General features: G+C 47.9%; 1 long non-coding RNA gene and 1 pseudogene across 1 annotated transcript, besides 6 other annotated features; both read right to left on the bottom strand.

Moving 5' to 3' along the window:
- Positions 1 to 1,816: 1,816 nt before the first annotated feature.
- On the bottom strand, positions 1,817 to 24,540 carry LOC107986854 (uncharacterized). The gene is made up of 2 exons (XR_001745386.2): positions 24,405 to 24,540; positions 1,817 to 2,470 (listed from the first exon to the last, which is right to left on the bottom strand). It is a non-coding gene; the product is annotated as an uncharacterized LOC107986854 (long non-coding RNA).
- Positions 3,093 to 3,162: an enhancer, noted in NCBI's record as "active region_26777". NCBI's record gives its function as "activates an Ori minimal core promoter by ATAC-STARR-seq in GM12878 lymphoblastoid cells {active_cell/tissue: GM12878}" and the evidence as "EXISTENCE:reporter gene assay evidence [ECO:0000049][PMID:35858748]".
- Positions 3,193 to 3,242: an enhancer, noted in NCBI's record as "active region_26776". NCBI's record gives its function as "activates an Ori minimal core promoter by ATAC-STARR-seq in GM12878 lymphoblastoid cells {active_cell/tissue: GM12878}" and the evidence as "EXISTENCE:reporter gene assay evidence [ECO:0000049][PMID:35858748]".
- Positions 12,303 to 12,597: a silencer, noted in NCBI's record as "tiled region #12666; HepG2 Repressive non-DNase unmatched - State 3:PromF". NCBI's record gives its function as "represses a minimal TATA promoter and a strong SV40 promoter by Sharpr-MPRA in HepG2 cells {active_cell/tissue: HepG2}" and the evidence as "EXISTENCE:reporter gene assay evidence [ECO:0000049][PMID:27701403]".
- RNU1-58P (RNA, U1 small nuclear 58, pseudogene) lies at positions 13,994 to 14,156 on the bottom strand (annotated as a pseudogene).
- Positions 24,604 to 24,653: a silencer, noted in NCBI's record as "silent region_18709". NCBI's record gives its function as "represses an Ori minimal core promoter by ATAC-STARR-seq in GM12878 lymphoblastoid cells {active_cell/tissue: GM12878}" and the evidence as "EXISTENCE:reporter gene assay evidence [ECO:0000049][PMID:35858748]".
- Positions 24,704 to 24,753: a silencer, noted in NCBI's record as "silent region_18708". NCBI's record gives its function as "represses an Ori minimal core promoter by ATAC-STARR-seq in GM12878 lymphoblastoid cells {active_cell/tissue: GM12878}" and the evidence as "EXISTENCE:reporter gene assay evidence [ECO:0000049][PMID:35858748]".
- Positions 25,334 to 25,493: a silencer, noted in NCBI's record as "silent region_18707". NCBI's record gives its function as "represses an Ori minimal core promoter by ATAC-STARR-seq in GM12878 lymphoblastoid cells {active_cell/tissue: GM12878}" and the evidence as "EXISTENCE:reporter gene assay evidence [ECO:0000049][PMID:35858748]".

The raw sequence follows: 27,758 nt of genomic DNA, 5'->3' as shown, positions 1-27,758 counted from the left end.
TAGCCGGGCGTGCTGGCGCATTACCTGTAATCCTAGCTACTCAACAGGCTGAGGCAGGAAAATTGCTTGAACCCGGGAGTCAGGGGTCGCAGTGAGCTGAGATCATGCCATTGCGCTCCAGCCTGGGCAACAAGAGCAAGACTCCATCTCAAAAAAAAAAAAAAAAAAACTGCAGGGCAAAAATCACTATAAACAAAGTCAAAGAACAAACTGGGAGGAATATTTTCTTTCTTTTTTTTTTTTTTTTTTGAGACGGAGTCTCACTCTGTCACCCAGGCTGGAGTGCAGTGGCGTGATCTGGGCTCACTGCAACCTCTGCCTCCCAGGTTCAAGTGATTCTCCTTCCTCAGCCTCCCGAGTAGCTGGGATTACAGGCATGCACCACCACGCCCGGCTAATTTTTGTATTTTTAGTAGAGACGGGGTTTCACCATATTGGTCAGGCTGGTCTTGAACTCCTGACCTCGTGATTCGCCCGCCTTGGCCTCACAAAGTGCTGGGATTACAGGCATGAGCCATCGTGCCCGGCCGAATATTTTCAATTTATATCAAGCAGAGCTCATGTCCTTACTGAGGAAGGACATCCATAAATTAGGAGAATGACCTGCAAAAAGCCCAGGGAGGCTGGGCGGGGGGATTCATGCCTGGAATCCGAGCCCTGCGAGGGGCCGAGGTGGGCGGATGGCTTGAGCCCAGGAGTTCAAGACCAGCCTGGGCAACATGATGAAACCTTATCTCTACAAAAATACAAAAATTAGCTGGGCGTGGTGGCATGCACCTATAGTCCCAGCTAGTTGGGAGGCTGAGATGGGAGGATTGCTTAAGCCTGGCAGATTGAGGCTGCAGTGAGCCGTGATTGCGCCACTGCACTCCAGCCTGGCTGACAGAGTGAGTCCCTGTCTTAACCCGACAAAAAGGGAGCCCAAAGAACATAAATTCCATGGTTTCTCCAGGCCCTTCCAGAGGCACCCATCGGGGTGCAGGACAGTGGGACAGATGGTTCTTTAGGCTTCCTAATGTCCCAGCTCTAATACCTCTCTACAGCCTCCATGTCCCTCTTCTTTGGATTTTATACTAAGTCCTTTTCAGACACATTATTAGGAACCAATAAATATCTGTTGAGTGATTTCACATGTTAGAGTGCACTTGTTTCCTAGGGCTGCCATTAACCAAGTGTCACAAGCTGGTTGGCTTAAAAACAGTGGAAAATTCTCTCTCACCATTCTGGAGGCTAGAAGTTGGAAATCAAAGTGTCAGGAGAGCTATGCTCCCCCTGAAGGCTCTAAGGGGGAGGGCCTTCCTTGCCCCTTCCTAGCCTCTGGTGGCCCAGGCATCCTTGTCTTACGGCAGCATCGCCCTACCCTCTGCCTTCCTCTTCACATGGTCATATGCCCTGTGTCTTTGCGTCTGTGATATCTCCTCATCATATAAGGACACCAATTGTTAGATTTAGGGCCCACCTAAATTTACATCCATAATGATTGCATCTCAAGATCCTTAACTAATTACATCTGTAAAGGCTCTTTTAAAAATAAGATCAGGCCAGGCACCGTCGCTCACACCTGTAATCCCAGCACTTTGGGAGGTTGAGGTGGGCAGATCATGAGGTCAAGAGATAGACCATCCTGGCCAACATGGTGAAACCCCGTCTCTACTAAAAATACAAAAATTAGCTGGGCGTGGTGGCACATACCTGTAGTCCCAGCTTCTTGGGAGGCTGAGGTTGCAGTGAGCTGAGATCATGCCACTGCACTCTAGCCTGGCGACAGAGTGAGTCTCTGTCTCAAATAAATAAATAAATAAATAAGATCATATTCTAAAGTTCCAAAGTTCTGGGTGGATGTGAGTGTATTTTTTGGGCAGGGGGTGAACACTATTCAACCTGCTACACAGAGCTTTTTCAGTTGCAAATGACAGGAAACCTCATCTAAGGAGCTTAAATAAATGATTATTGGCAATCCTAGCAAAATATATCTAGTATGTTACCCTGAACAATATCGGGCTTTGATGAGGTTACAAGTCCATCTCTAAACTAATCACTGCAGCCAGGCCAGAGGCTGTACCTGAGCTCTTGAACCAGGGGTAGATTCAGTTCCACTGAAAGCACACAGACTGAGGAGATTATTTGCAGATACCATTACCAGGAGAAGGGGGAGCAGGTGCTAGGTGGTAGAAAACGTAGCCACCTGCTAGCATGGTCTTCCTCCACAGTCAGTCAGCTCTTGGGCAGCAGTGACTCTTCTCATATCTGCATTCCAGGGCCTTGAAGAACAGCAGGACTTCAAATAAATATTTACTGAGTTGTTTTTGAATTTTTAACATGATTCAGTCTCCAAGGGCTTCATTCATGGTAAATCTGCAATCCGGCGTCTGATCCAGGGTGAGCCTTCCCCACGGAGGCACTGTCCTTTGTAAGGCCCTTCTAGGTAGACCAGCTGGCCATCTGTTATGTAACCATCCATTCTTCAAAACTTCCATAAAAGAGAAGCAAGAAAGAAGGGTTTGGATCATGTTAGGGTCAAAGAAGGGCAGGAGAGAAATACAAGTGGTAGATGAAACTGAGCATCAAAGAAATACATCCCCACCTTTCCCCTTTGTTCTAACACACACACAAATCTCATTATCTGCAGGGTTGGACTATTGTTACCCTCACATACCCTGGAGTCCTGGTGGAGAATACAGGATTCTGGGTTTAGGCATGTGTCATTCGGTGGTTTAGGCCTGAAATATTGTGCCTTAAACACCCACAGAGGGGCCTTATATCCCAAACACCAGAAGAGCCAATGCCCAGAGGGTGAAATCAGACAGCCCTTAAGCTAGATGAAGCTGGAATTGGTAACCACACTATGGAGTTTAATTTGCTGACCTAGATGTAGTCTGCAGCCCACAAAACCTCATACCACAGCAAAGCTTTTTCTTGTGCTGAGACAGCTGGCTGAGCATGATGTTGCAATGACTCAGTTCTCAGTAAAGGGTCTGAGGAAATTAGGGGCAGGGCTACAGCCCCAAGACCACAGCTCCAAGAGACCTTCCTGTTTATTCATGGGTGAGAGAAGGGGAACCTTCTGTTTGTGGGCACTGGTATTTCATCAGAAGAGACAAGGCTGGACTCTGGGTTTGAGCTGTGTGTACACAGTCAACACATGACAGTCAGACAATTATACTCAGAGTGAGAATTCATATCTAGCCACATAGGCCAAAAGCATCTCTAAAAGCTGTTCTTAGGCCAGGCGTGGTGGCTCACACCTGTAATCACAGCACTTTGGGAGGCCAAGGCAGGTGGATCACAAGGTCAGGAGTTCGAGACCAGCCTGGCCAACATGGTGAAACCCCGTCTCTACTAAAAATACAAAAATTAGCTGTGCATGATGGTGCACGCCTGATGTCCCAGCTACTCAGGAGGCTGAGGCAAGAGAATCGCTTGAACCCAGGAGGCAGAGGTTGCAGTGAGCCGAGATCACACCACTGCACTCCAGCCTGAGTGAAAGAGCCAGACTCCATCTCAAAAAATAAATACATAAATAAATAAAAGCTGTTCTTAAAACTATGTGAATCAAATCACATTTTTACTTGACTTCCATTTTAAAACTGGACATAGGTTTATATGAGGAGGCCTAGTTCAATAAAACGAGAGTTGAAAACTCTGTGGGCTCGGAGGACTTCCCATTAAACATAGCCGGTTGAACATGTGCATACTCCTGGGCCTCCTCCCAAAACCCCACTAAAATGTGAGGCAAGAGACTTTTTTTGAAAAGCATAAGTCCATAAGAGAGGTAAGAGCAAAGAGAAGGATCAAAAAGATTTTTAAGCTGGAAATTTGAGAGATAATGAACCTCACACACCAGAGTAAAGGGTCTCAAAATGGGGAAGCCAAGAAAACAAGCCAATCCATGCCTCTGAAACACCCCAAAGGCTTAGGAATTGGAGGTACCAGATACTTCTGAAAAGGCATGGCTGCGGCTGAAAACTAGAGCACTGATTAAAAGTTTTCTTCCAACCTGGGCAACATAGTAAGACCCCATCTCTACAAAAAACACAAAAATTAGCCAGGGGCTGGTGATGCACACCTGTGGTCCCAGCTACTCAGTAGGCTGAGGCAGGAGGATCACTTGAGCCCAGGAGGTTGAGGCTGCAGTGAGTCATGCTCGGTCCACTGCACTCCAGCCTAGGCAACAGGGCAAGAAAAAAATAAAAATAAAAAGTTTTCTTAAGCAATAGTTAAGGCTGGGCACGGTGGCCCACGCCTGTAATCCCAGCACTTTGGGAGGCCAAGGCGGGCAGATCACTTGAGGTCAGGAGTTTGAGACCAGCCTTGCCAACATGGTGAAACCCCCTCTCTACTAAAAATACAAAAATTAGCCAGGCATGGTGGTGCATGCCTGTATTCCCAGCTACTCAGGAGGCTGAGGCAGGAGAATCATTTGAACCTGGGAGGCAGAGGTTGCAGTAAGCTAAGACGGTGCCACTGCACTCCAGCCTGGGCCACAGAGCGAGACTCCATCTCAAAAAAAAATGAGAGTTAATCCCTGCAGTTCTTCCCTTAGCCTATGCAACAAGCTACTACTTTCTCTCAGCCTTCATCAGAGACGGACCACTTATTGTATGGGGAGTTTGAGTTAGAGGAACTTTGGACTTAGGAACAACTGAAGGTGGAAGATGAGTATCAAAGAAGGGGGATGAAATGAAAGTCAATGTACCAACCCGTGCTGTCCTCATATTTGACTCCTAGACACTGGCAGACACATTTATAACTATGGGGAGGGAGTTCAGAGAACTCCCATAGGAAACTGACCACCAAAAGAAGAGACATGGAAATGTATCATAGGGGATTCCCCCAAGAATGACTGGCCCCTGTCTGATCACCCCATTCTAAAATCACTCCATCATACATGCAAATCTTTCTTTGTTTTGCTTTGTTTTGTTCTGTTTTGTTTTGAGATGGAGTCTTCCTCTGTCACCCAGGCTGGAGTGCAGTGGTACAATCTTGGCTCACTGCAACCTCCGCCTCCCGGGTTCAAGGGATTTTCCTCCCTCAGCCTCCCGAGTAGCTGGAATTACAAGTATGTGCCACCACGCCCAGCTAATTTTTATATTTTTAGTAGAGACAGGATTTTGCCAGTCGGCCCTGCTGGTCTCGAACTCCTGACCTTAGGTGATCCACCAGCCTCAGCCTCCCAAAATGCTGGGATTACAGGCGTGAGCCACCGCACCCAGCCAATATTGTTTCTTAAAACTGAATATTCAGTGAATAAAAGCATTCATGGAAGGTTGAGCTGTGATAGTAGAAACTAAAAATTCAAGACGTCAGGTGTGGTGGCTCATGCCTGTAATCCCAACACTTTGGAAGGCTGAGGCAGGAGGATCTCTTGAGCCTAGGAATTCGAGACCAGCTTGGGCAACATAGCGAGACCCTGTCACTACAAAAAATAAAAAATTTGTCAGGCATGGTGGCACATGCCTGTTGTCCCACCTACTTGGGAGGCCAAGGTAGGAGGATCGCTTTAGCCTAGAAGTTTAAGGCTGCAGTGAGCTATGATCAAACCACCGCACTCCAGCTTGGGTGACAGAGTGAGACCCTGTCTCAAAAGAAAAGAAGAAAAAAGAAAAGTCAGAAGGTAAAGTTGAAAAAAAAATCACAGAAAGTAGGAAAAAAGGGTCAGAAAATAGGAGAAAGACAGTTAGAAAATCAGAGACCTTCTACATCAATTTAGGAAGTCTGACATTTGAGTAATTGGAGTTCCATAAAGAGAGAATACAGAAAATGGAAAGGAGGAAATAATGTTTTAAAAAATAACAGTAATTCAAGAAAAAAAATTCTAAAATGGAAGACCATATGTTTCTAGATTGAAAGGGCCTACCCGAGTATCCAAGGCAATGAATGGAAAAAAAATCCCCTACCAAGGCACAACATTGTGAAATTTCAGAACAACTATGAATAAGATCTAAAAAGCTTCCAGGATAAAAAAAAAAATAGCAGGTTATGTACTACAGATCAGAAATGGCAATAGCTTTGCTCTTCTCAAGCACAACGCTAGAAGCTGGAATATGATGAATTCAAAGCTAACATGCAAGTGTGAATGAAGAATAGAGACACTTTCAGAAATGTAAGCTTTCAAAATTTTAACCTCCCAAGCAGCCTTTCTTCTTTTATTTTATTTTTTATTTGAGATGGAGTCTCGCTCTGTCTCCCAGGCTGGAGTGCAGTGGTGCAATCTCTGCTCACTGCAACCTCCACCTCCCGGGTTCAAGCAATTCTTGTGCTTCAGCCTCCCAAGTAGCTGGGATAACAGGTGTGCACCACCACACCCAGCTAAGTTTTGTATTTTTAGTACAGACAGTGTTTTGACATGTTGGACAGGCTGGTCTTGAACTCTTGGCCTCAAGTGATCCACCCACCTCAGCCTCCCAAAGTGCTGGGATTACAGGTGGGAGCCACCACACCCAGCCCAAGCAGCCTTTCTTAGGAAACTGTAGGATGATATATTCCATGAAAATGAAGGAATAAATAAAGAGGAAGCCTTGAAGCCCAGGAAATGGGAAGAGAGCAGAGTTGGGAGCAGGAGGATAGGGATGGAGGACTTGAGGATGCCTCCTAGAAAAACACATGAAACCAGGACAACCTGCTATGTCTAAATACAGTGAGCAAAGATTCACATTTCCAGTAGAGTCTGGAGAAGAATTAGCAATAGGTACATAGACAGTTGAACAAATAGAAAATAAGGCAATATTTATCTTCAGGGAAAACAAGAAAAAGTTTGTACCAGATAGGAAATATAATCATGTTACACTCCGCAGCTCAGCTGTGAATAATGGCTGCATTGTCAGAATAAACACTGGCTACTGATTAAACCAGAAATTGCAACACAAGCAAATTAGGAGGATGGGGAAGAGAAGATATATGATAGCTAAATCCTTGTTTCCCAAAGAAGGAAGACAACAGATAATAAATGCAACGGAGAAAACTGGAGAAGCTGGTGAAAGCTAAAAAGAGGCTGCTTCTGAAAATCAAGGGGGGGAATAGTGGGGAAGGAATTGCTTGCTTTAAGATTTTAAAGATTATTTTACTTTTCAAATAATGCAAATGTGTTATCTGATAAAAACAGTAACTAAAGAAAGATCATTATTGAGTTATGGAAGAAGTTAAACTAGTAGTGGCTATTATTTGTTGAGTACTTACAATATGCCAGAAACCACGGTAGGCATTTTACTTATAGTATCTTATTTATTTATTTATTTGAGACAGGGTCTTGCTTTGTCACCCAGACTGGAGTGCAGTGGCACAATCATGGCTCACTGCAGCCTCAACCTCCTGGGCTTAAGCAATCTTCCCACCCCAGCCTCCCGAGTAGCTGGGACTACATACATGAACCACCATACTGACTAATTTCTTAATTTTTTGTAGAGATGGGGTTTTGCCTTGTTGGCCAGGCTGGTCTCGAACTTCTGGCCTCAAGTGATCTGTCCACCTCAGCCTCTCAAAGTTCTGGGATTACAGGTGTGAGCCACTGTGCCAGGCCTCTAATTTGGTCTCTAAAAAAACGAGTAAATAAAAACATGATGCCCCATCAGACACTGCAGAGCAGCGATTCCCACCTTTTTCTGCACTTTTGAATGAAGGACAATGATCATGTAAGCCCCTTACTCCCACCTGGGAGTCCAGGGTTACACATAATTCCTCACTGTAAACTCATCCTTTTCTCTCCTACACAAGTAAGAATATCTAAATAAGTTAAAGTGACATTATTTTTGGAATAATCTAAAATCTTCTCAAATATAATTTTTTAAAAGTAGATCGGCCAGGCGCAGTGGCTCACACCTGTGATCCCAACACATTAAGAGGCCAAGGTGGACAGATCACCTGAGGTCAGGAGTTTGAGACCATCCTGGCCAACATGGTGAAACCCCATCTCTACTAAAATACAAAAAAAAATTAACTGGGTGTGGTGGCGCAACACCTGTAATCGCAGATAGTCAGGAGGCTGAGGCATGAGAATCACTTGAACCCAGGAGACAGAGGCTGCAGTGAGCCAAGATCGCACCACTGCACTCCAGCCTGGGTGACAGAGCGAGACTCAGTCTCAAAAAATAAAATAAAATAAAATAAATAAAAGTAGATATTACAAATCCCAGGATCTTAACTACTGTTAGTAACCAAGTCCCTGTGGCTCACAACCATTGGAGGAAATGCAGCCACAGAGGGCCTTGGAGACGTGTCTGCGGCTCCACACTGAGTTGATGGCAGAGCCCAGAGCCCTTGCCTTTTATAGTATGTGTTAACAGAACAGCTGGCTAGGATGTACTTCTACAGATGGTGGCGAGTGCATGAGGCTTGACCATCTGAGCAAGCTTGTCAGGAGGCCAGAGCTCTTTCTTTCCCTGTCTGGGCCACTCTTTACAAATGTACCAAAAAAGCTTTTATTGTCAGAGAAAAATGATTCCATTTAGATCTAGATATCCTGTGGAGTCCATTCCTTCAGTAAACTTTTTTTTTTTTTTTTTTTTTTTTGAGATGCAGTCTTGGTGGCTCACGCCTGTAACCCCAGCACACTGGGAGGCCAAGGTGGGTAGATCACGAGGTCAGGAGTTTGAAACCAGCCTGACCAACATGGTGAAACCCTGTCTCTACTAAAAATACAAAAATTAGCCAGGTATGGTGGCACATACCTGTAATCCCAGCTATTTAGGAGGCTGAGGCAGGAGAGTTGCTTCAAGCTGGGAGGTGGAGGTTGCAGTGAGCCGAGATCGCGCCACTGCACCCTAGCCTGGGTGACAGAGTGAGGCTCCGTCTCAAAAACAAACAAACAAAAAAACATATTCTTGGGCCCTGCCCCAGACATATGGAAACAGAACAGGGCTGTGGAGGGGGGAATTAGCAGGAATCTATGCTTTTCCTTCAATCTTTTATTTTGAAAATATTCAAACTTATAGAAAAGTTGAAAGAATACAGCAACCACTCCTATACCTTCTACAAAGATTCCACAATTAACATTTTACTACATTGAGGTTTTTTTCCCTCTCTCTCTATCCTCTCCTTCTTTGTGTCTACAGAATTTCTTACCGAGACCTTTGAAAGTATATTTCAGACATCAGGACACTTCATTCACGTTGTGGTTACACTGTGTCCCAATAAAAGAAACGTTGACGTCCTGGCCCCTGGTACCTTGAATGTGACCTTAGTGGTAAATAGGGTCTTTGCAGAGGTACTCAAAATGAAGTCATGCTGGATTAGAGTGGGCCCTACATCCAATAACTGCCATCCTTATAAGGGAGAGAGAGATTTGAAGACACGGAGAGACACACAGGGAAAAAGGCTACCTGACTGTGGAGACAGAGATTGAAGTTTATGTTGTCACCAACCAAGGAACGCCAAGGATTGCCAGTAACTACCAGAGGCTGGAAGAGGCAAGGAAGACTCCTCCCTAGTCCTTCAGGCAGAGCATGGCCCCACGAGCCCTTGATTTTGGACTTGAATTGTGACAGACCAAATTTCTGTGTTGCAAACTATCCTGCTTGTGGCAATTTATTACCGTAGCCCTAGGAAACTAATACAACTCCTCAATACAGGTGTTACCTAAATGTGGGCATTTAATGGGACTCACGTATTCTCCCCATAACCAATATCATTAGCACACCTAAGAAAATTAACAATAATTTTATGATATCCAATCCATACTCAAATATATCCAATTGTTCTCAAAATATCTTTTATAGATTTTTTTTTCCTTTTTTTTTGATCCAGGATCCAATCAAAGTATCTTACACGCATTTGATTATTATGTCTCTCTAATTTTTTTATTCTAAAAGAATTCATCTTAAAAAATGACTTCTTGATGTGTCCAGGTTTTAAAGAAAAAAATTATTCTCAAACAGTAAGAAAGACTTTATTCAAGACTATTGCAATAGGAGTGCTGCTCTAGGGGAGTGCGCGATCTGGCTCAACTCCAAGTACAAGGACAAGTGGGGATTCACAGCCAAAGAGCAGGATGAGGGGTCAGTGGATGGGAAATTACTAATGGGAGACATCAAGCGTAGGGATTCTTGCTAAAGACAGGCTAAGGGCTTAGACATCAAGGAAGCGGGGTGAGGTACTTGATCAGATACAAAGAGTGGAGGGATGACTTGGCAGGATTCTTTGCTAAGACTGGCTGGGCAGACCAAAGACAAGATGGGGGCCAAGGTCCAGGCCTAGTTGAAAAGAAGGCTCAGAGGAGTCTGACTAAAGTTTGGTCAGGGAGACAGCCTTTGTTACAGGTTAGTTGTCTTATAGTACGTTCCACACTGTGCACTCGCCTTTCCTTTTCTTTTTCTTTTTTCTTTTTTTTGAGATGGAGTTTTGCTGTTGTTGCCCAGGCTGGAGTGCAATGGTGTGATCTTGGCTCATTGCAACCTCTGCCTCCTGGGTTCAAGCGATTCTCCTGCCTCAGCCTCCCAAGTAGCTGCCATTACAGGCATACACCACAACGCCTGGCTAATTTTGTATTTTAAGTAGAGACGGGGTTTCTCTGTGTTGGTCAGGCTGGTCTTGAACTCCCGACCTCAGGTGATCCACCTGCCTCGGCCTCCCAAAGTGCTGGGATTATAGGCGTGAGCCAGCGTGCCCGGCCTTGCATTTGTCTTTTCATCCTTTTGGTGAAACTTGTTCCTCTATCACCATTAAGTCATGAGGCTTGATCAGATTCATGTTTATCACATATGGCAGGAATAATTCATAGCTGGTAGTATTAAGTATTTCAGATTACATCACATCAGAAAGTGCATAAGTGCATAATAGCTGCACTATTAGCGATGCTTAGTTGTTGTTATTTTTATTTTTGGAGATGGGGTCTTTTTCTATTGCCTAGGCTGGTGTGCAGTGGCATGATCATAGCTCACTGCAGCCTTGAACTCCTGGGCTCAAGCAATCCTCCCACCTCAACCTCCCTAGTAGCTGGGACTGCAGATAAGTGCCACTCATGCCTGGCTAATTTTTTATTTTTTGGTAGAGACAGTCTCACTATGTTGTCAAGGCTGGTCTCGAACTCCTGGCCTTAAGCAGTCCTCCTGTCTCAGTCTCCAGAAGTGGTGGGATCACAGGCATGAGCCACTGTGCCTGGCTGAGTTTGATCACTTTGGTAAGGTGATGACCACCAGCTGTCTCCATTGCAAAGGGCAATTTTCCCTTTGGTAATTTGCAAGTCATCTGCAGGTAATACTTTAGTCCGATGTGAATATCTTGCTCTTCCATAACCTTCTGTCCAGTGGTTTCATCAAAAATCTTTATTTAATTGGGGGTTGCCAAATAGTGATTTCCAATTCTATCATTCCTTTCAGTTTTATTAGCTGGTATTTCCCTTCCTTTATTCCTTGTTTTGAAGATCACTAGAGATTTTTAAAAATTGTGGCTTGATTTTTAAAAATCAGGCCGGGCATGGTGGCTCACGCCTGTAATCCCAGCACTTTGGGAGGCCGAGGCGGTCAGGAGTTTGAGACAAGCCTGGCCAATATGGCGAAACCCCATCTCTACTAAAAATACAAAAATTAGCCAGGCGTGGTGGCGCGTGCCTGCAGTCCCAGCTACTTGGGAGGTTGAGGCAGAAGAATCTCTTGAGTCCGGGAAGTGGAGGTTGCAGCGAGCAGAGATCGTGCCACTGCACTCCAGCTTGGGCGATAGAGCAAGACTCCATCTCAAAAAAAAAAAAATGTGTTATCAACTATAGTGAGTATTTATTTTGATGTTCAGATTGACTAAATTTGGCCAGTAAAATTTCCTTCAAGCTGGTTGCTGTCTTGGAACACTTCTTTGTCTTCTGGCACAATTTGATGTCCTAGGCTCACTTTCCCTGCCCCAGATTGGGGACCCACCATTTTTCCAAGGGGCAGAAAACATGGTCATCCTCTCAATTACCTAGAGTAGTGGTATCACATTCCACCAGCCTGGCCAACATGACAAAATCCCATTGCTACTAAAAAAATACAAAAATTAGCCGGGCATGGTGGCAGCGCCTGTAGTTCCAGCTAATTGGGAGGCTGAGGCATGGAGAATCGTTTGAATCCAGGAGGTGGAGGTTGCGGTGAGCTGAGATGGTGCCACTGCACTCCAGCCTGGGTGACAGAGCAAGACTCTGTCTCAAAAAAAAAAAAAAAAGAAAGAAAACAGAATAATGGTATCACATTCCTTACCCATTTAAAATTAGCTTAACAGTAGCTACTGTTGATCAAGTGCTGTGCACTGGGCCACGTTTCCATGCATCCTCATTTAATTCACATTAATTCTTTACAGTAGGTTATGTTACTTATCCCTATTTTATAGATGAGGAAATCAGGGTGTGGAGAAGTTAAGTAAACTGCCCAGGTCCTCTCAGCTGGCAAGAGGAGGAGCTAGCAATTGGAACTCTAATCATTCTGATAACAAAGCCCAAGCTTGGAACCACCATAATCTATTGACAATTTGGCTACAAAAGAAGAAAACTCCTTAAGCAGCATTGAACTTGATAATACTACATTTTTAAAAACAAAAACCATGCTTTAAGGTAACAGGTATTAAGCAAAATTTAGGGAAAGAAATCCTTGAGTACAATCTGGAAACTTTCTCATTAATTCCCTTTTTTTTTTTTTTTTTTTTGAGATAGAGTCTCACTCTGTTGCCCAGGCTGGAGTGCAGTGGGAAGATCTCAGCTCACTGCAATCTCTGCCTCCTTGGTTCAAGCGATTCTCCTGTCTCAGCCTCCTGAGTAGCATGAGCCACCACGCCCAGCTAATTTTTGTAGTTTTAGTAGAGATGGGGTTTCGCCATGTTAGCCAGGCTGGTCTTGAACTCCTGACCTCAGGTGATCTGCCTGCCTTGGCCTCTCAAAGTGCTAGGATTACAGATGTGAGCCACCGCGTCTGCCTTTTTTTTTTTTTTTTTTTTTTGAGACAGAGTCTTGCTCTGTCCTTTCTCATTAATTCTAAATTGCCAGTAATCATAGTTTAGAATGATCTTGATCGACCCAGAATATGAGGAGAAAGCTTTCTTACAACTCAGCCAGAAGCCTTATCATGAAGTGAATTGGAGCAGGGACTTTGGACCAAGGGAATGTTGAATGCCCTTCCAGCTTCTCACCTACAAGTCTTTTCTGTGCTTCTGGGACAGTCCATTCAGAGCTTAAGCTGTCCAGGGTAATGAAAGTGTTAGTAGGGGAGAAGAGAAAGCTGCTATGATAATGTAACTATGCCAAGTTGTCGTTGTCATAGGGTGCTGGGGAAGGGGATAGGGAGGGGGACACTTGCCAAACTGGGGGCTGTGACTGCTTGGACAGAGGAGCACCTTTTTCTAATCTGCACAGAGGTGCAGATAAGCACTGCAGGCTAGCAGAGGCCCTAGCTGAGTCAAGTTCTTTCAGTTTGAAGTTGACTGTTCTAGGTTCAAGGGTGAATGACTTTCTATTATCTCTTAATGAGAAAAAACTTCCTTCTCCCAACAAGAATTTCCAGTTGTGGTTATTAGCCTAGGTGTAACCGAAATTGAAAAGTAATTATATTTCTCTTAGCAGCTAAGATTGCCCCCAGCAACCTGCCCATTTCCTGCTTTCACTCTTAGGAGGACAGTCTTTTGCCTTGTATTCTTTTTTCCCCTTCTCTACATTGACTTTAGGGTCCAGTTTTAAGTCCCAGACCTGTTTAGTAACTAGCTTTAATCCCAGGGCACCAAGTCTCTGGCCTCTCCATGCTTCCCCCTTCCCTTCCTGGGTCTTAGCCAGGGCAGGGAGCACTACCTACCTGAGTACGCAGAGCAGTGGTGAGAGGTGGCCCAGGGAGCCATCTCAGGGAACCCATTAAGATAAAGGGGAAGAATAAACAGAAGCAGATGTTCCTTCAGCCCCAGTCCCCAGCCCACTGAAAAACAGGAAGCTGGGATGGCAGCTGATAAGGGCTGTCTCCAGGGCTGGGCCGGGACTCCTTGGAGCCAGGGGCTGGGTTGGGTTTCTCAGTCCTCATCTCTCCAGGACAGTCTCCTTTTTCTTGTCCTTCATTAGTAGGGGAAAGCATAAACACAGTCCCCCATTACCACAAATTATGCAGTTGAGGTCCCACGTTTGGGGAAATTGTGAGGGTCAGCCCATCCAGAGTGCAATGGATGAGGCTTGCCCTGGGAAAATCATTTCTGTGATCCTGTTATCTCCCCCACAAGGTAAGTATCTCCAGGCCAATCTTATTTTCCTTCCATGGGGACAGGTCAGAGGCACTTTCCCTCCATATGAATACAAATCAAATGTATTCACATTCTATCATCAATGCCTGTGGTCACTCAAAATTCAAAAGAAGGGGCCGGGGCATGGTGTCAGCCTGTAATGTCAGCACTTTGGGAGGCCAAGGTGAGCGGATCACTTGAGGTCAGGAGTTCGAGATCAGCCTGGCCAACATGGTGAAACCCCTTCTCTACCAAAAATATAAAAAATTAGCCCGGTGTGGTGGCAGGCACCTGTAATCCCAGCTACTTGAGAGGCTGAGGCAGGAGAATCGCTTGAACCCAGGAGGTGGAGATTGCAGTGAAGTCGAGATCACGCCACTGCACTCCAGCCCAGCCTGGGCGACACTCTCTCAAAAAAAAAAAAAAAAAATTCAAAAGATGTGAACTTCCAAAATGGAGACTGCACACATGCACACATCTACATACATGCACACACACATGCATGCACACCATACACGTACATACATGTGCACCCACAGGCGCACACATACCATACACATGTGCACACATGCCACATGCATGTACACACGAACCATGTACATGCACACATACCAAACACACACGTGCACATACAAGCCCTCATCTAGGCTGAGATTTAAAAGCCCTGCAGTTGGCTGAGCGCGGTGGCTCACGCCTGTAATCCCAGCACTTTGGGAGGCCAAGGTGGGCGGATCTCCTGAGATCGGGAGTTTGAGATCAGACTGACCAACACGGTGAGGGTCAGCCCATCCAGAGCGCAATGGTTATTAGCCTAGGTGTAACCGAAACCCTGTCTCTACTAGTAGACAGGTTTAGTAGAAACCCTGTCTCTACTAAAAATACAAAATTAGCTGGGCATGGTGGCGGGTGCCTGTAATCCCAGCCACTTGGGAGGCTGAGGCAGGAGCATTGCTTGAACCCGGGAGGTGGAGGCTGCAGTGAGCCGAGATCACACCATTGCACTCCAGCCTGGGCAACAAGAGGGAAACTCTGTCTCTAAATAAATAAATTAATTAAATAAATAAAAATAAAAGCCCTGCGCTGACTCCATTCCTCAGTAGTGATGATTCCCCAAAACACTACAGTTCACCCTCCATAAAAGGGGTTGTCCAAGCTTGGAGCTCTCTGGGTCTGGGGTTTCCCCTCAGTAAAGTGAGGAATGTGGACAAGGAAACTTCTAGGACCTCTTCCTGTGCTCCCACATCCTCTGGCCCTAAGGGCTGTTTTCAGCTCCCCACCCCCATATCCCAAAGGATCAAAGGAATGGAAACTTAAGGAATTGGACCTTAAGGCTGTGGTGTCTGGGCTGGAGTGGACGGTGCTTTGCCACACACCTCTGGCATATCATCCTACAGCAGTGTTTCTCTTTTAAAAGAAAAAATTATTGCGGTGGCTCAGGCCTGTCATCCCAGCATTTTAGTACAGCGAGGCAGGTGGATCACCTGAGGTCAGGCATTCAAGACCAGCCTGGCCAACATGGTGAAACCCCATCCCTACTAAAAATACAAAAATCAGCCGGGTGTGGTGGTGGGCGCCTGTAATCCCAGCTACTTGGGAGGCTGAGGCAGGAGAATTGCTTGAACCCGGGAGGCAGAGGTTGCAGTGAGCTGAAGATCATGCCATTGCACTCCAGCCTGGGCAACAGAGCGAGACTCCGTCTCAAAAAAAAAAAAATTATTATGGACCCCAAGCTGACGAAATCTTTAATATTACCCAAATATATGTGCATATTAAGACCTTGGTATGCAAAGTTTAACAATACAACACCTCGTATTGTTAGGTAGTCTATCATCAGAAAAGTCAAGCAGAAAGGAAGAGAGAAGTCAGGGTGTCACTCTGGGCCCCCAACTTCAGGAGTGTTTCCATCAAGGGCTGCATTTCCCCCCTTGACAAACCCACCATAGCTCTGGCTTTGCTGGGTGATCCCTGGGTGCAGGGAAGCCCGACCCCTCCTTCTGTCCCCATTCATAGAATCCTGGACTGGCTAGGGGCCTAGAGAGATCACTAAGCACTGCTGAAATGCAGAAGACCAACTTCTAGACACAGGCACCCCGCCCCCTCCTTCTCTCCCTCCAGCCTAGGGGTGGCAGTCACTTACTGCTGTTGTAAACCTCTGGGCTGCCTCACCCTCTACTTTTTGGATCTTTGGTTTATTTGTCCTGGGTCCTAGGAAGGAGGTGAGGCAGCACTTCCTAAGGACGGGGAGTGCAGATGGCATAGGCAAGATGCCCGCAGAGGCTGATCCAGGCATGTGCTCAGCACAGCAACTGTAAGAGGAGAGCAGGGCTGGGCCAAGGGAGAAGGTGAAATGTGATGCACTTGCCACCAAAGCCCGGCCCTCCATCCCATGACGAGTTACAAAGCCCTTCGGAGTTGTCCTGAGTGGAGGCAAGGGGCTGGGTTTTTGCACCCCACTCCCCATATCTCACCCCTACATGGTTCGGTTGAATTCAGGCTGCCCCGCAAGGAAGGAGCCACCCTTGGGCCAGGCAGCCCCCTTCAGGCAGGGCTATTCCTGGGAACAGACTGGCGGTGAGCTGTCAGCAGTTGTATCCCAAAGAAGAACCTGGGCAGAGGCTGCAGAGTCGGCCACAGCATCAAAGCCCAGCTCTGCTTACTACCTGCGTGACCTAGACCCAATTCCTCATCCTTGTTTAGCATGCAGTTCAGTTTCCCCATCTGTAAAACAGGGAGGCTGTGAAGATCAAATGAGACCATGTTCCCGTAGGGGACAAGAAGCCCGCCCCTGGCTGGCTTCCCTCTAGGGAGCTGCTGCCAATCCCTTTGGCCAGGATCCAGGACTCTGCTTCAGCCACCTGTATAAGGGGGCGGGGACCCTGTGTGATGAGGTCTGTGCCAAGGTGTGGCCTTCCCTCCCACATCCTACTCTCAGGGGGTGGATGGATCTTGCTCTTCTCACTGGCTCCTCCAGCTCTGGGGACAGAACAAGGACGGCGAACCAAGGTCCTCTTGGAGCCTGTCCTTCTGGCCTCCCTCATCCTCCCCACATGAGCACTGGCAGGTTGGGCCCAAGCATGGCCAGGGAAGGGAGAACCTCTGGATCCTGGAGTTCCGAGCCTCAGCTGTGCCATGCAGCCCAGAGCCCTGCCCCGAGTGGAGTGTCAGGCTCTGTGCCATTTGCCTTTATCCTCTGTGTGTGCCAATCCCCAGGAACCCCACAGGAAGGAAGGGGTGGAAGAGCTAGGGCAGAATTCTGGCATTCCTGGGTCCCCTAAATCCCACCTGCACTCTGAATGGTAGAAAAGATGGGAAGATATAAATAGAAAGCAGTGGGGGTGTGGGGGAAGGTCAGCAGCACCCCAGACTGCTTCAGGGCCCCTGGGGACACAAGGAAACCTGATGTGAGTTGGAAAAGGTCCCTCCTCCGGGTGGACGCACACCCATGATGTGCAGCTTAGCTCACAGATGGCGCCTTTGTGCAAACTAGAAAAAGCCCTCAGCCCTCCCTGTGTGGTTGGGGTGCAGCGCCCAACCTGAATGAAGTCTCCACGGGATGTCACAGGTCCCTTGCACTGCCAGTTTTCTCAGCACACACGAAATTGAAGGTATAGCCTTGGGTTCTGCACATTTTGTGTGGCTTATGTGCCAACTGGGACAATCTGGTTATATGCCACAGAGCCCATCTTCCCAGACGTCAAACATCTGTCCACACCTTACAGCCTTTGCTGCTGCTCTCTGCGATGACAGTCATAGAATCCTGGACTGGCCAGAGGCCTAGAGAGATCACTAAGCACCACTGAAAGGCAGGAGACCAACTTCTAGACACAGGCACCCCGGCCTGGCAGCCTTTTTACCGTGTGTGTCCAGCCAGGCTCCCTGCTGCTCTGAGCCTATGCCTGGTAACTCATGTTTTCATGGACGTGGACAACAGCACCCTGCCCATAAGATGTGTCGCTGCAGGGTGGTGTGGGTACGGCAACGATCAGAGCTGGGCGACCTCAGTCTGTGTTTAGCTAGATTTGTTGTATCCACCCAGTATTGATCCTTATGGCTTTTCTTGAAAAAGTGGATATGGCCACAATGGGCCTGCACTCCTTCCTGGTACCACATGGCTGGAGGGGAGTTGTGTCCTCTCTGGTAGCACCATAGGAGTGGCTATAACCCCAGTCTAATGGAGAAATAGTCCATTATGTACTCCAGAGGCTTCCGGCCTTCGTTTGAGTCCTATATCATTTATTGCCTGTTAGACTTTGAAAGAGCTACTGCTCTGTGCCTCAGTTTCCCCATTTGTCAAACAGGATGATGAAATAATAGCACCTACCTTACAGGATTGCTATAAACATTAAATAAATGCATATAATAGCACGTAGTACATAATCATAATCACTAAATGTCAGCTCCTATAATGACAACAGGCGAGGTCCCCATGGATAGTGTAGATATTTAGGTAAAACATCCACAAACATCATTTCCTTGTTTTGATGACCCTCGAATTCCCAGCAATAGATGGTAGCTGGCCTACAGAAAACTGAGTTGGGAAAGCCAAGCATTCCTGTACGAGGCCCCTACCCCGTCCCCCAGTAATAAGGCAAACTTCCAGATTGCCAGGGGTTGTGGGGGCCGCCTTGGCTCCTCGTCTTGCCCAGCTCAGAACTGTCTCTGAGGCGGGCATGCAGGGACACACTATGGACAACCAGTCATGCTCCTCGTCAGCAACTTCAAAGAACATTGCCCATATCCCAAGGCCTCTTCGTTCCTCTTCATAAGTCATTAGGGGTCTGTCAACAGCTAAGTACCCCAAGACTTTTTATTTCCAGCTTGACTCCTGCTTGGGATAATGAGTTCCATGACCCTACCGCCCACCAAGCGAAGGAACATTTTCTTTGATTATTCCTAAATATAACTCTCTCAAGCTTTAAGCAGAGCACCCCCTCCCCGGTTCTCTTTCAGGATTTAGTGAATGAGTTCAAGAGCACCCTAACCATCCATGATTAAACAGATGTTCTTCCTTCTTAGCCTTTATCTTCCCAAATGGAAGAACCCTTAACACATGACTTTGCGTTTTTACGGCAACTTCACTATTTCCTTGACGATTTGGTTGCTTCTTTTTTGAGTTTCTCATGGTCTTTCTTCAAGTGTAGTAAGCACACAGGACAGAAATCCCTCTCCAACCACAATCCCTCTCCATCTGACTAACTTTGTATATTTTTAGTAGAGATGAGGTCTTGCTATGCTGTCCAGGCTGGTCTCTCTTATGCCACATTCTACTCTGCTTGGATGAATTTCCAAGCACAAAATGAGAATTTCAGTTTAATATATGCAAATCACAGTCATTGTGTTGAAAACAACTGGAAAGAGAAGGGACTGGGAGTTGGTGAGAGAAAAGGGTAAAAGCTGTAGGCAGAGTGCTATCAGAAACATTTTTCAGAGAGGTGTGGGAACAATAAAAGCAGGTGAGGTCTTAGAACTCCAACTCTGCACTCTATCCCAGAGCCAGCACACGCAACTGGGCAGGTATCCCACCCAAAAACACCCTCCAAGAGGGAAGGCAGGGGCTGAAATTCAGCCCTCACCCACTCACTGTGCTCCTAGGTGCTGGGCTACAGCAGCCAGCAGGAGTAACCTTTTTTTCTGATTTGCACAAAGGTACTGTGTGGACCAGCAGCAGCCCTGTCCGTTCCTGCGTCGGTCACTATGGGGGCAGCTGTGTCCTACAGACAGAGAAACCCAGGTCAGAGCTAGGCACTGGGTCCTGATATGCTCTAGAATAAAGTTTTCATAGTCATTCATCCAGTGAATATTTATTGGGCATCTACCATGTGCCTGGCACTGTATTTTTGTTTTTGTTTTTTTTGAGACAGGATCTTGCTCTGTCATCCAGGCTGGAGTGCAGTGGCATGATCACGGCCCACTGCAGCCTCAATCTCATAGAATCAAGTGATCCTCCCACCTCAGCCTCCTGAGTAGCTTGGACTGCAGGCACACACCACCACACCTTTTATATTTTTAGTAGAGATGAGGTCTTGCTACGTTGCCCAGGCTGGTCTCGAACTCCTGAGCTCAAGTGATTCTCCTGCCTAGGCCTCCCAAAGTGCCAACACTGTTGTAGGTGTGGAGAAGACAGTGGTGGATAAGACAGACCTGGTTCCCGCTCTCAAAGAGCTTTGATTATAGTCAGGGGAAACAAGTTAACAAGGTCAATGTAGACATCACAAGTATCATAACGATCCAGATCAGTGGTTGGCAAACTATGATCTTTAGGCCAATCTAGCCCTTGGCCTGTTTTTGTAAGCCCCATGAGTTAAGAATAGTTTTTATATTTTTAAAAGGGTTGTTAAACAAATTCAACAAAACAACCCTTAGGAGGCACATGAAGCCTCATTATCGACTAGTCCCTTACAGAAAAAGTTTGCTGAGCCCTGGTGTAGGTAGTGACTTGCAATGGTAGGGTTATCTAGCAGACATTGCGGGTTGTCAACTTGGTTGGATTATCTAGCAGACACTGCTGGTCGTCAACCGGTTGGATTATCTAGCAGAGACTGCTGGTTGTCAACTGGTTGGATTATCTAGCAGAGACTGCTGGTTGTCAACTGCCTGGATTATCTAGTAGACACTGCTGGTTGTCAACTTCACAGAACCCATCCATATCTCCCAAATATATGGCAGCCTCGAGATTTGTATAGGATGGGGCCTTAGCTGCTTAAGCCTAATCAGGGTTCTTTTAGCAGTGACTGGGTGCTGCTCACCAGCACATTTCAGGGATGCACCATTGAGCACGTGAGATTCCGCTGGGCTAAATGATTGGTTAGGTGAAATCCAGTGTTTTTTTTGAGCATGGGAGGCAAGAAACTCTCTTCCTGGATGGGGTGGGATGTGCATGTGGGGCCAGGGATTGCTGCAGCCATTTTGCTCATGGCTGGGAGGTCAGCCTGAGGATTCAGTGACCCATGGAGGGAGTGCCCAGAGAATCACAGAAAAAAGGATCCAGGTCCCCACCATACCCTGGCTGCAGCGTGATTTTCTTTTGGACGTTTTAGTTCCCAAGCCAATAAACTCCATTCTGTGTTTACACCAGCTGGGGTTTCTTGTTTATTTGTTTTGAGACAGAGTTTCACTCTTTTTGCCCAGGCTGGAGTGCAATGGTGTGATCTTGGCTCACGGCAGCCTCCACCTCCTGGGTTCAAGCGATTCTCCTGCCTCAGCCTTCCGAGTAGCTGGGATTACAGGCACGTGCCACCACGCCCAGCTAATTTTGTATTTTTAGTAGAGACGGGGTTTCACCATGTTGGCTAGGCTGGTCTCAAACTCCTGACCTCAGGTGATCCACCTGCCTTGGCCTCCCAAAGTGCTGGGATTACAGGCATGAGCCCACTGCATCTGGCCTGTATTGTTTAATTTTTTTTTTTTTTTTTTTTTTTTGGGACGGAGTCTCGTTCTGTCGCCCAGGCGGGAATGCTGTGGCGCGATCTCCGCTCACTGCAAGCTCCGCCTTCCGGGTTCAGGCCATTCTCCTGCCTCAGCCTCCCGAGTAGCTGGGACTACAGGCGCCCGCCACTGCGCCCGGCTAATTTTTTGTATTTTTAGTAGAGACGGGGTTTCACCGTGGTCTCGATCTCCTGACCTCGTGATCCGCCCGCCTCGGCCTCCCAAAGTGCTGGGATTACAGGCGTGAGCCACCGCGCCCGGCCGTATTGTTTAATTTTTAAACTGACTTTTACTTACATAGAGCAGTAAAGTACACAAAACTTAAGGACACAGTCTGATGAATTTCAACACCACACACACAAACATATACCTCTATCATCCAGATCAAGAATGTTCCCAGCCTCCACAAGCCAAATATGTAATTAAAAATGTCCTACTAGGCATATTAACGCAATAAAAGTAGAAAGCTGGGGCGTGGTGGCTCACGCCTATAGTCCCAGCTATTAAGGAGGGTGAGGTGGGAGGACTGCTTGAGGCCAGGAGTTTGAGGCCACCCTGGGCAACATAATGAGACCCCCACCTCTAAAACAAAATTAGCCAGGGGACGGTGGGGTGTGCCTGTAGTCCTAACTGTTCAGGAGCCTGAGGTGGGAAGATTACTGGAGCCCAGGAATTCCTGGCTGTAGTGAGCTATGATTGTGTCACTGTACTTCAGCCTGGGAGACAGTGAGATGAAGAAAGAAAAGAAAGAAAAGAGAAGAGAAGGGAAGAGAAGGAAAGAGAAAGAAAGGAGGGAGGGAGGGAAGGAAGGAAGGAGAGAAAAAGCTGAAATTAATTGTAATAATCTATTTGACTTAACCCAATAGATCTAAAATACTTTAATACATAATCAATGTTGAAAGTATTAATGATTACATTTTTTTCCTTACTGAGTCTTTGAAGTCCAATGTTTGTTTGACACATACAACACATCTCAATTTGGACTAGCCAGACTTCAAGTGCTCAACGGCCCCATGTGGCTAGTGGCTAATGTACTGGACAGCTCAGGTCTAGAAAGCAAGGGCTGATAAATGAAAAGGAAGCAAATAGCATCCATTGATAGGAATACAAGTTGTGTAGGATGTAAGCCACTGACTTTGAGTGCCGATTTCTTAGTTTTATTTTAGTGAAAATAAAATCAGTTCACACCCAGTATCAGTTCCCTAACCCTATATTCCCCTAAGGTCCCAGATTACTCAACATAGGATATTCCTACCACAAAGAGTTTTCGTTCCCTTTTGGACCCTCTTATGAAGAGTTGTCATTCTTCACATTCTTAGGCATGATGGACCTCTGAATGACAGGTTCCCATCTGACCAAAAAGCCTCCAATTTCAGCTTTGAGTTATTTCAGACTTTTCAGATGGAAGTCATTTTATATCTGTGGTTTCAAACCTGACCAGTCATCTAAATCACTTGAGTATTTAAAACAAAAAACATAACACGCGCCCTGGACCTGCTGAATCCCAATCCAGAGATGCGCTCGGTGATGTGTATTTTTAAACGCCTTCACAGATGACTGTGATGGGCTTTCAGCCCTGGGAACCACTGAGCATCATCTGCTTTGCTGAAAAGATCCAGAGACTTCATCAGGCACCATAGCAGAGACACAGCAAGGCCCCGACTGACAAATCCTCTAGGAGAAACACTCCTATTAAAAATGTTGTAGCCTTGGCCGGGCTCAGTGGTTCATGCCTGTAAACCCAGCACGTTGGGAGGCCGAGGTGGGAGGATCACCTGAGGTCAGGAGTTCGAGACCAGCCTGGCCAACATAGTGAAACCCCGTCTCTACTAAACATACAAAAATTAGCCTGGTGTGGTGGCAGGCGCCTGTAGTCCCAGCTACTTGGAAGCCTGAGGCAGGAGAATCGCTTGAACCCGGGAGAAGGAGGTTGCAGTGAGCCAAGATTACAACACTCCAGCCTGGGTGACAGAGCAAGACTCAAATTAAATAAATAAATAAATAAATAAATAAATGTAGCCGCGGGGGGACGGGGAGGAAGTTGTTTATTTCCTCATGGCTGGGATAATGGCAGTAGTGGAGGTAGAAGCTTCTTGGGTGCAGCCTATTTTAGGCAGGCCGAGCCCAGTCCATGGAACAGGAAACAGTATCTGCAGGTGGGGGACCAACATGAGAGAGGACCACGGGTCTCGAGTTGGCCTGAGGGTGTGGGTAAGGAGGAAATGCACAGTGGGTAACCCGCCCGCCCCTACACACATTCTGTTTTTTTACTTCTGGCTTTTCTGGCAGTCAGTGAACTCTCTTAATCTTAAGGCATGGCGTGTAATAGCAGAGCAAACCTGTGTTGCAAAGGGACAACCTGAAAGAGCATGACTGAAGGGGAAATAAAACTCACCCGGTCCTTCTGGATTTCAGTTTAATCACTGGGTGTGCCCTTGGCACCAGGATCATAAAACAGACCTGGTTTCCTTCCTTTGATGTAGTTAAAGAGCCCTGGATTTGTCGTCGGGGCACCTGAGTTCCAGTCCCAAACCTGTACTAAGCAGCTGTGCCACCATGTGCCTAGGATTTAACTTACCTGAGCCTCACTTCCCCTGCTGGTAAAATGAGTAATCAAACCCATCTTGTGGGTTACAGTGATGGCTGGGTAAAGTAATGCATGGGAAAGCAATTTAGAAACGATCAAACACGACACAAAGGGAAGACCACCGTTTACAGAAGGGAAAGTGACGCAGGACACAGAAAGCGGGAGAAACCGTTCGCCAGCTCCTAGATTCCTCACCTCTGCCCTCCCCCTGTCCTCCCTTCCCCCTCCACGGCAGGGGCCTTACCAACAGCAGGCGCTCTAATCCGCCTGGGCACACACCTGTCCTGGGCTGCTGGGAAGACGCCCCCCGCCCCGCCTAACAAACACACAGAAGTCTCCGGGCCGGGACACCATAAACGTTTCTAGTGGCAAGTCCTCACGGCCCGCGGGCTTCCATTGGCTCGGGAACCCCCTGAGCCTATTTTTCATTGGCTGGCTACTGCTGGGATGAGGAGAGGCAGTCTCAGCCGAGAGTCACTTAGGGCTGCGTGCCCTTTCCTGCCCACCTCCCCGAAGCGGCCCGGGAAGCCCCACTGCTCCCTGCGCGCTCCCTGCGCGCTCCCTGCGCGTCCCGGCCGCGCGCCTGCAGATCCTGCCCGCCCGGCAGCCGTCCCAGGCCGGGAAACAGTAGCCGCCACTCAAATCCGCCCCTTCATCGCCCAGTCCCGCAGTGGACATCTTTCTGGTCCCCCACCCAGAACTGAGCATCACTCCCCCGGTCACGCACATGAGCTGCGCCTCTGTCACTTTTGTCACTCAGTCCCCTTCCTAACTCCTCCCCCCACCCGCAGATTGAAGGGTGCAGTGATCTCCTGGCTCGGTCCCGAATAACGCTGGGTTTAAGTGCACTGGGCCCCAGTTGACAACCAAATAAAGTGGAAACACGTGCGCACCACTCACAGAAAGTATTTCCATTCCGCAGAAGCAACACCTACGGCCCCCACGCCCCCCAGCTCCGAGCCAGAGAACCGGCCCTCTAGGGAAGCCGCCGCCCTTCCCCATCGGGCTGTCATTGTTCCCCGGTCACTTCGGGCGGCGACCCCCACGGCCCGGCCCGCGCGCCCCGACAGCCCCCGCCCGCGGGACCAGCAGCCGCGGCAGGGCACGGGACACCCTTTCCCTGGCGGGGCGGCGTGGGGGCGGCGCTGCCAATCGCTGCGCAGCGCACGTGCTGCACGTCTGCGCATCCGGCCCCGCCCGGCCGGCGTGGTGTGGGGTTGCGGGGGTGCGGGGGCGCGAGGCGCAGCGGCGGTGTGGACGCGCGAGGGTCGAGGGATGCGCGCGTCGCGGGGTGGAGTGCGCGGTGCTTCGGACCCCGGGGCGGCGAGAGTGCGCCGGGGGGCAGTGCGAACGCCCAGGAGTGGGGAGTGCGCAGAGATCTGGGGGTGGCAGAGGACGAGCGCGCCAGCGGGGACCACGGGGGGACCCGAGGGCCCACAAAAGGGTCCGTTCCCCCCTATGCGATGGCTGAGCACCGGGAAACTCCCCAGCGGTCTCCGCCTGTCTCTATCCCTCTCTTACTAGAAACTTGCCACAGCTGGTGGGCGCGGGCCCGCTGCCCTGCACGTCCACCGCCAGATCAGCCCAGGGCCCGCGCCCGGAGGCCAGGGAGCTGGAGGTCAAAGCTTGGTCTCCTGACACCTGTTCAGGAGAAAGCGGATCTTTGTTTGAGGGCCCTCCTTCCGCCACCCACCGCCCCCGCCCCCAACCCCGCCTCCAGCCTAGAAGAGGAGTATTTCAGGTTGCGATTTTCAAACGGAATCATCAAATGTGTAAACTAAAGGGCGGAAGCCCAGGAGTCAAAACAGCCGTGGTATGGTCTTGACAGAGGGCAGAGAGGAAGAGAGGGGTGCCACCTGCTCAGGGCCAGACGCTGATTGAGGGCGCGCCCTGGGAGGGGCGCTTCCTGGTGCTCATTAGTGGAAGGGTGAAATGGGAAGGCAGCAGGGCCGACTTGCTCTCGGCAGAGGGACATTTTCATTCTTCGGTGTGCTGTTTGGGCCCCAGAGAGCTCCACGTCCCAGCGTGGAGGCCAGTGATGTAGCTGGAGCGAGCTGTGAGCTCCTGGAGCTGTTTCGTTGTTTACCCTCCTTGAAAGGAATGCTGTAACAACTTCCGGAAGAGGAGCCCCTTTGAAGTGTGGGCAGGATTGGGGTTCCTCTGACTTCACGTTGTCTAGGTGGCCCCTTTGATGTGGTGACAGGGCTTAGCAGAGACTGGCTGTGGGGAGTCAAACGCCAGTCCAAGGTCACCTCCACCAGGATGGACATACTGAAGGGCAGATTGAAATAGGCCAAAACGAATCTCAAAATTTTCCATTTCCTGGTTTGTTCATTTTTTCATTAATACAGTACGTACTTCTCAAATGTATCATTCGATTCTTTATAACTATGAAATGACGTTGGAAAACTTTGGGTGAAAATGCTATACCTACATTTATCTCATTTAATCCTCACAATAACTATTAGGTGGGTATTATCCCCACTTTATGGAAGAGAAATTGAAGGCCTAGGGTCACGCAGCTATGTGACTGAAAGCCTTCCTTCTTGAACTGCTCCTTCTCTAAAAGTTAATTGGTTTATTTAAATGAGTCAACCCACACAAAACAGATGGGTGTCTGGCACACGGTAAATGTGCAATGAACTGTTAGTTGTACTTGTCACCTTTTTTTGTTGAGACAGTGTTTTCCGTCTTACCGCGCAGGCTGGAGTGTAGTGGCACAATCTAGGCTCCCTGCAACCTCCGCCTCCTAGGTTCAAGCGATTCTCCTGCCTCAGCCTCCCAAATAGCTGGGATTACAGGCTCCCGCCGCCACACCCAGCTAATTTTTTTTTTTAATTTTATTTTGAGACGGAGTCTCGCTCTGTCACACAGGCTGAAGTGCAATGGCGTGATCTTGGCTCACTGCAACCTCCGCCTCCCGGGTTCAAGTGATTCTCCTGCCTCAGCCTCCTGAGTAGCTGGGATTACAGGCGCACGCCACCATGCCCGGCTAATTTTTATATTTTTAGTAGAGACGGGGTTTCACCATGTTAGTCAGGCTGGTCTCGAACTCCTGACCTCGTGATCCGTCCACCTCAGCCTCCCAAAGTGCTGGGATTACAGGCGTGAGCCATTGTGCCTGGCTTTTTTTTTTTTTTTTTTTTTTTTTTTTTGTATTTTTTAGTAGATACAGGGTTTCGCCGTGTTGGCCAGGCTGGTCTCTAACTCCTGACCTCAGGTGATCCCTACATCTTGGCCTCCCAAATTGCTGAGATTGCAGGCGTAAGCCACCGCGCCTGGCCTCTTGTCACTTTTTATTACAAATAAGAAGCTTAAACGTTCTCTATATTGCTGTGGCAAGTACTACAAGAGTCTTAGGCAGCAGATCGTGAAGAACTGTTTGAGAAATGTTTTAGGGTTTTGCTTTTCTCTGATTAGAACCATCTCCAAACGGTGTTGGAACTGGAGTTCCTGAGTAAGATGCTTTCAGACAAAATATACAATGTCTTTCTCTAGAGATCCACTCCTAGGCTTTTTGTTCCTTTCTTTCCCACTGTAGAACATTGCAAAAACAAGCTGCTGAGCCCTCAGCTGGGTGCTTGGGTGTCCCTGAGTT

This window comes from Homo sapiens, chromosome 7, assembly GCF_000001405.40.
Source record: "Homo sapiens chromosome 7, GRCh38.p14 Primary Assembly".
Lineage (NCBI taxonomy): Eukaryota > Metazoa > Chordata > Mammalia > Primates > Hominidae > Homo > Homo sapiens.
The sequence above is the reverse complement of the archived record's forward strand: the minus strand, read 5'-3'. Positions and strand labels throughout refer to the sequence as shown.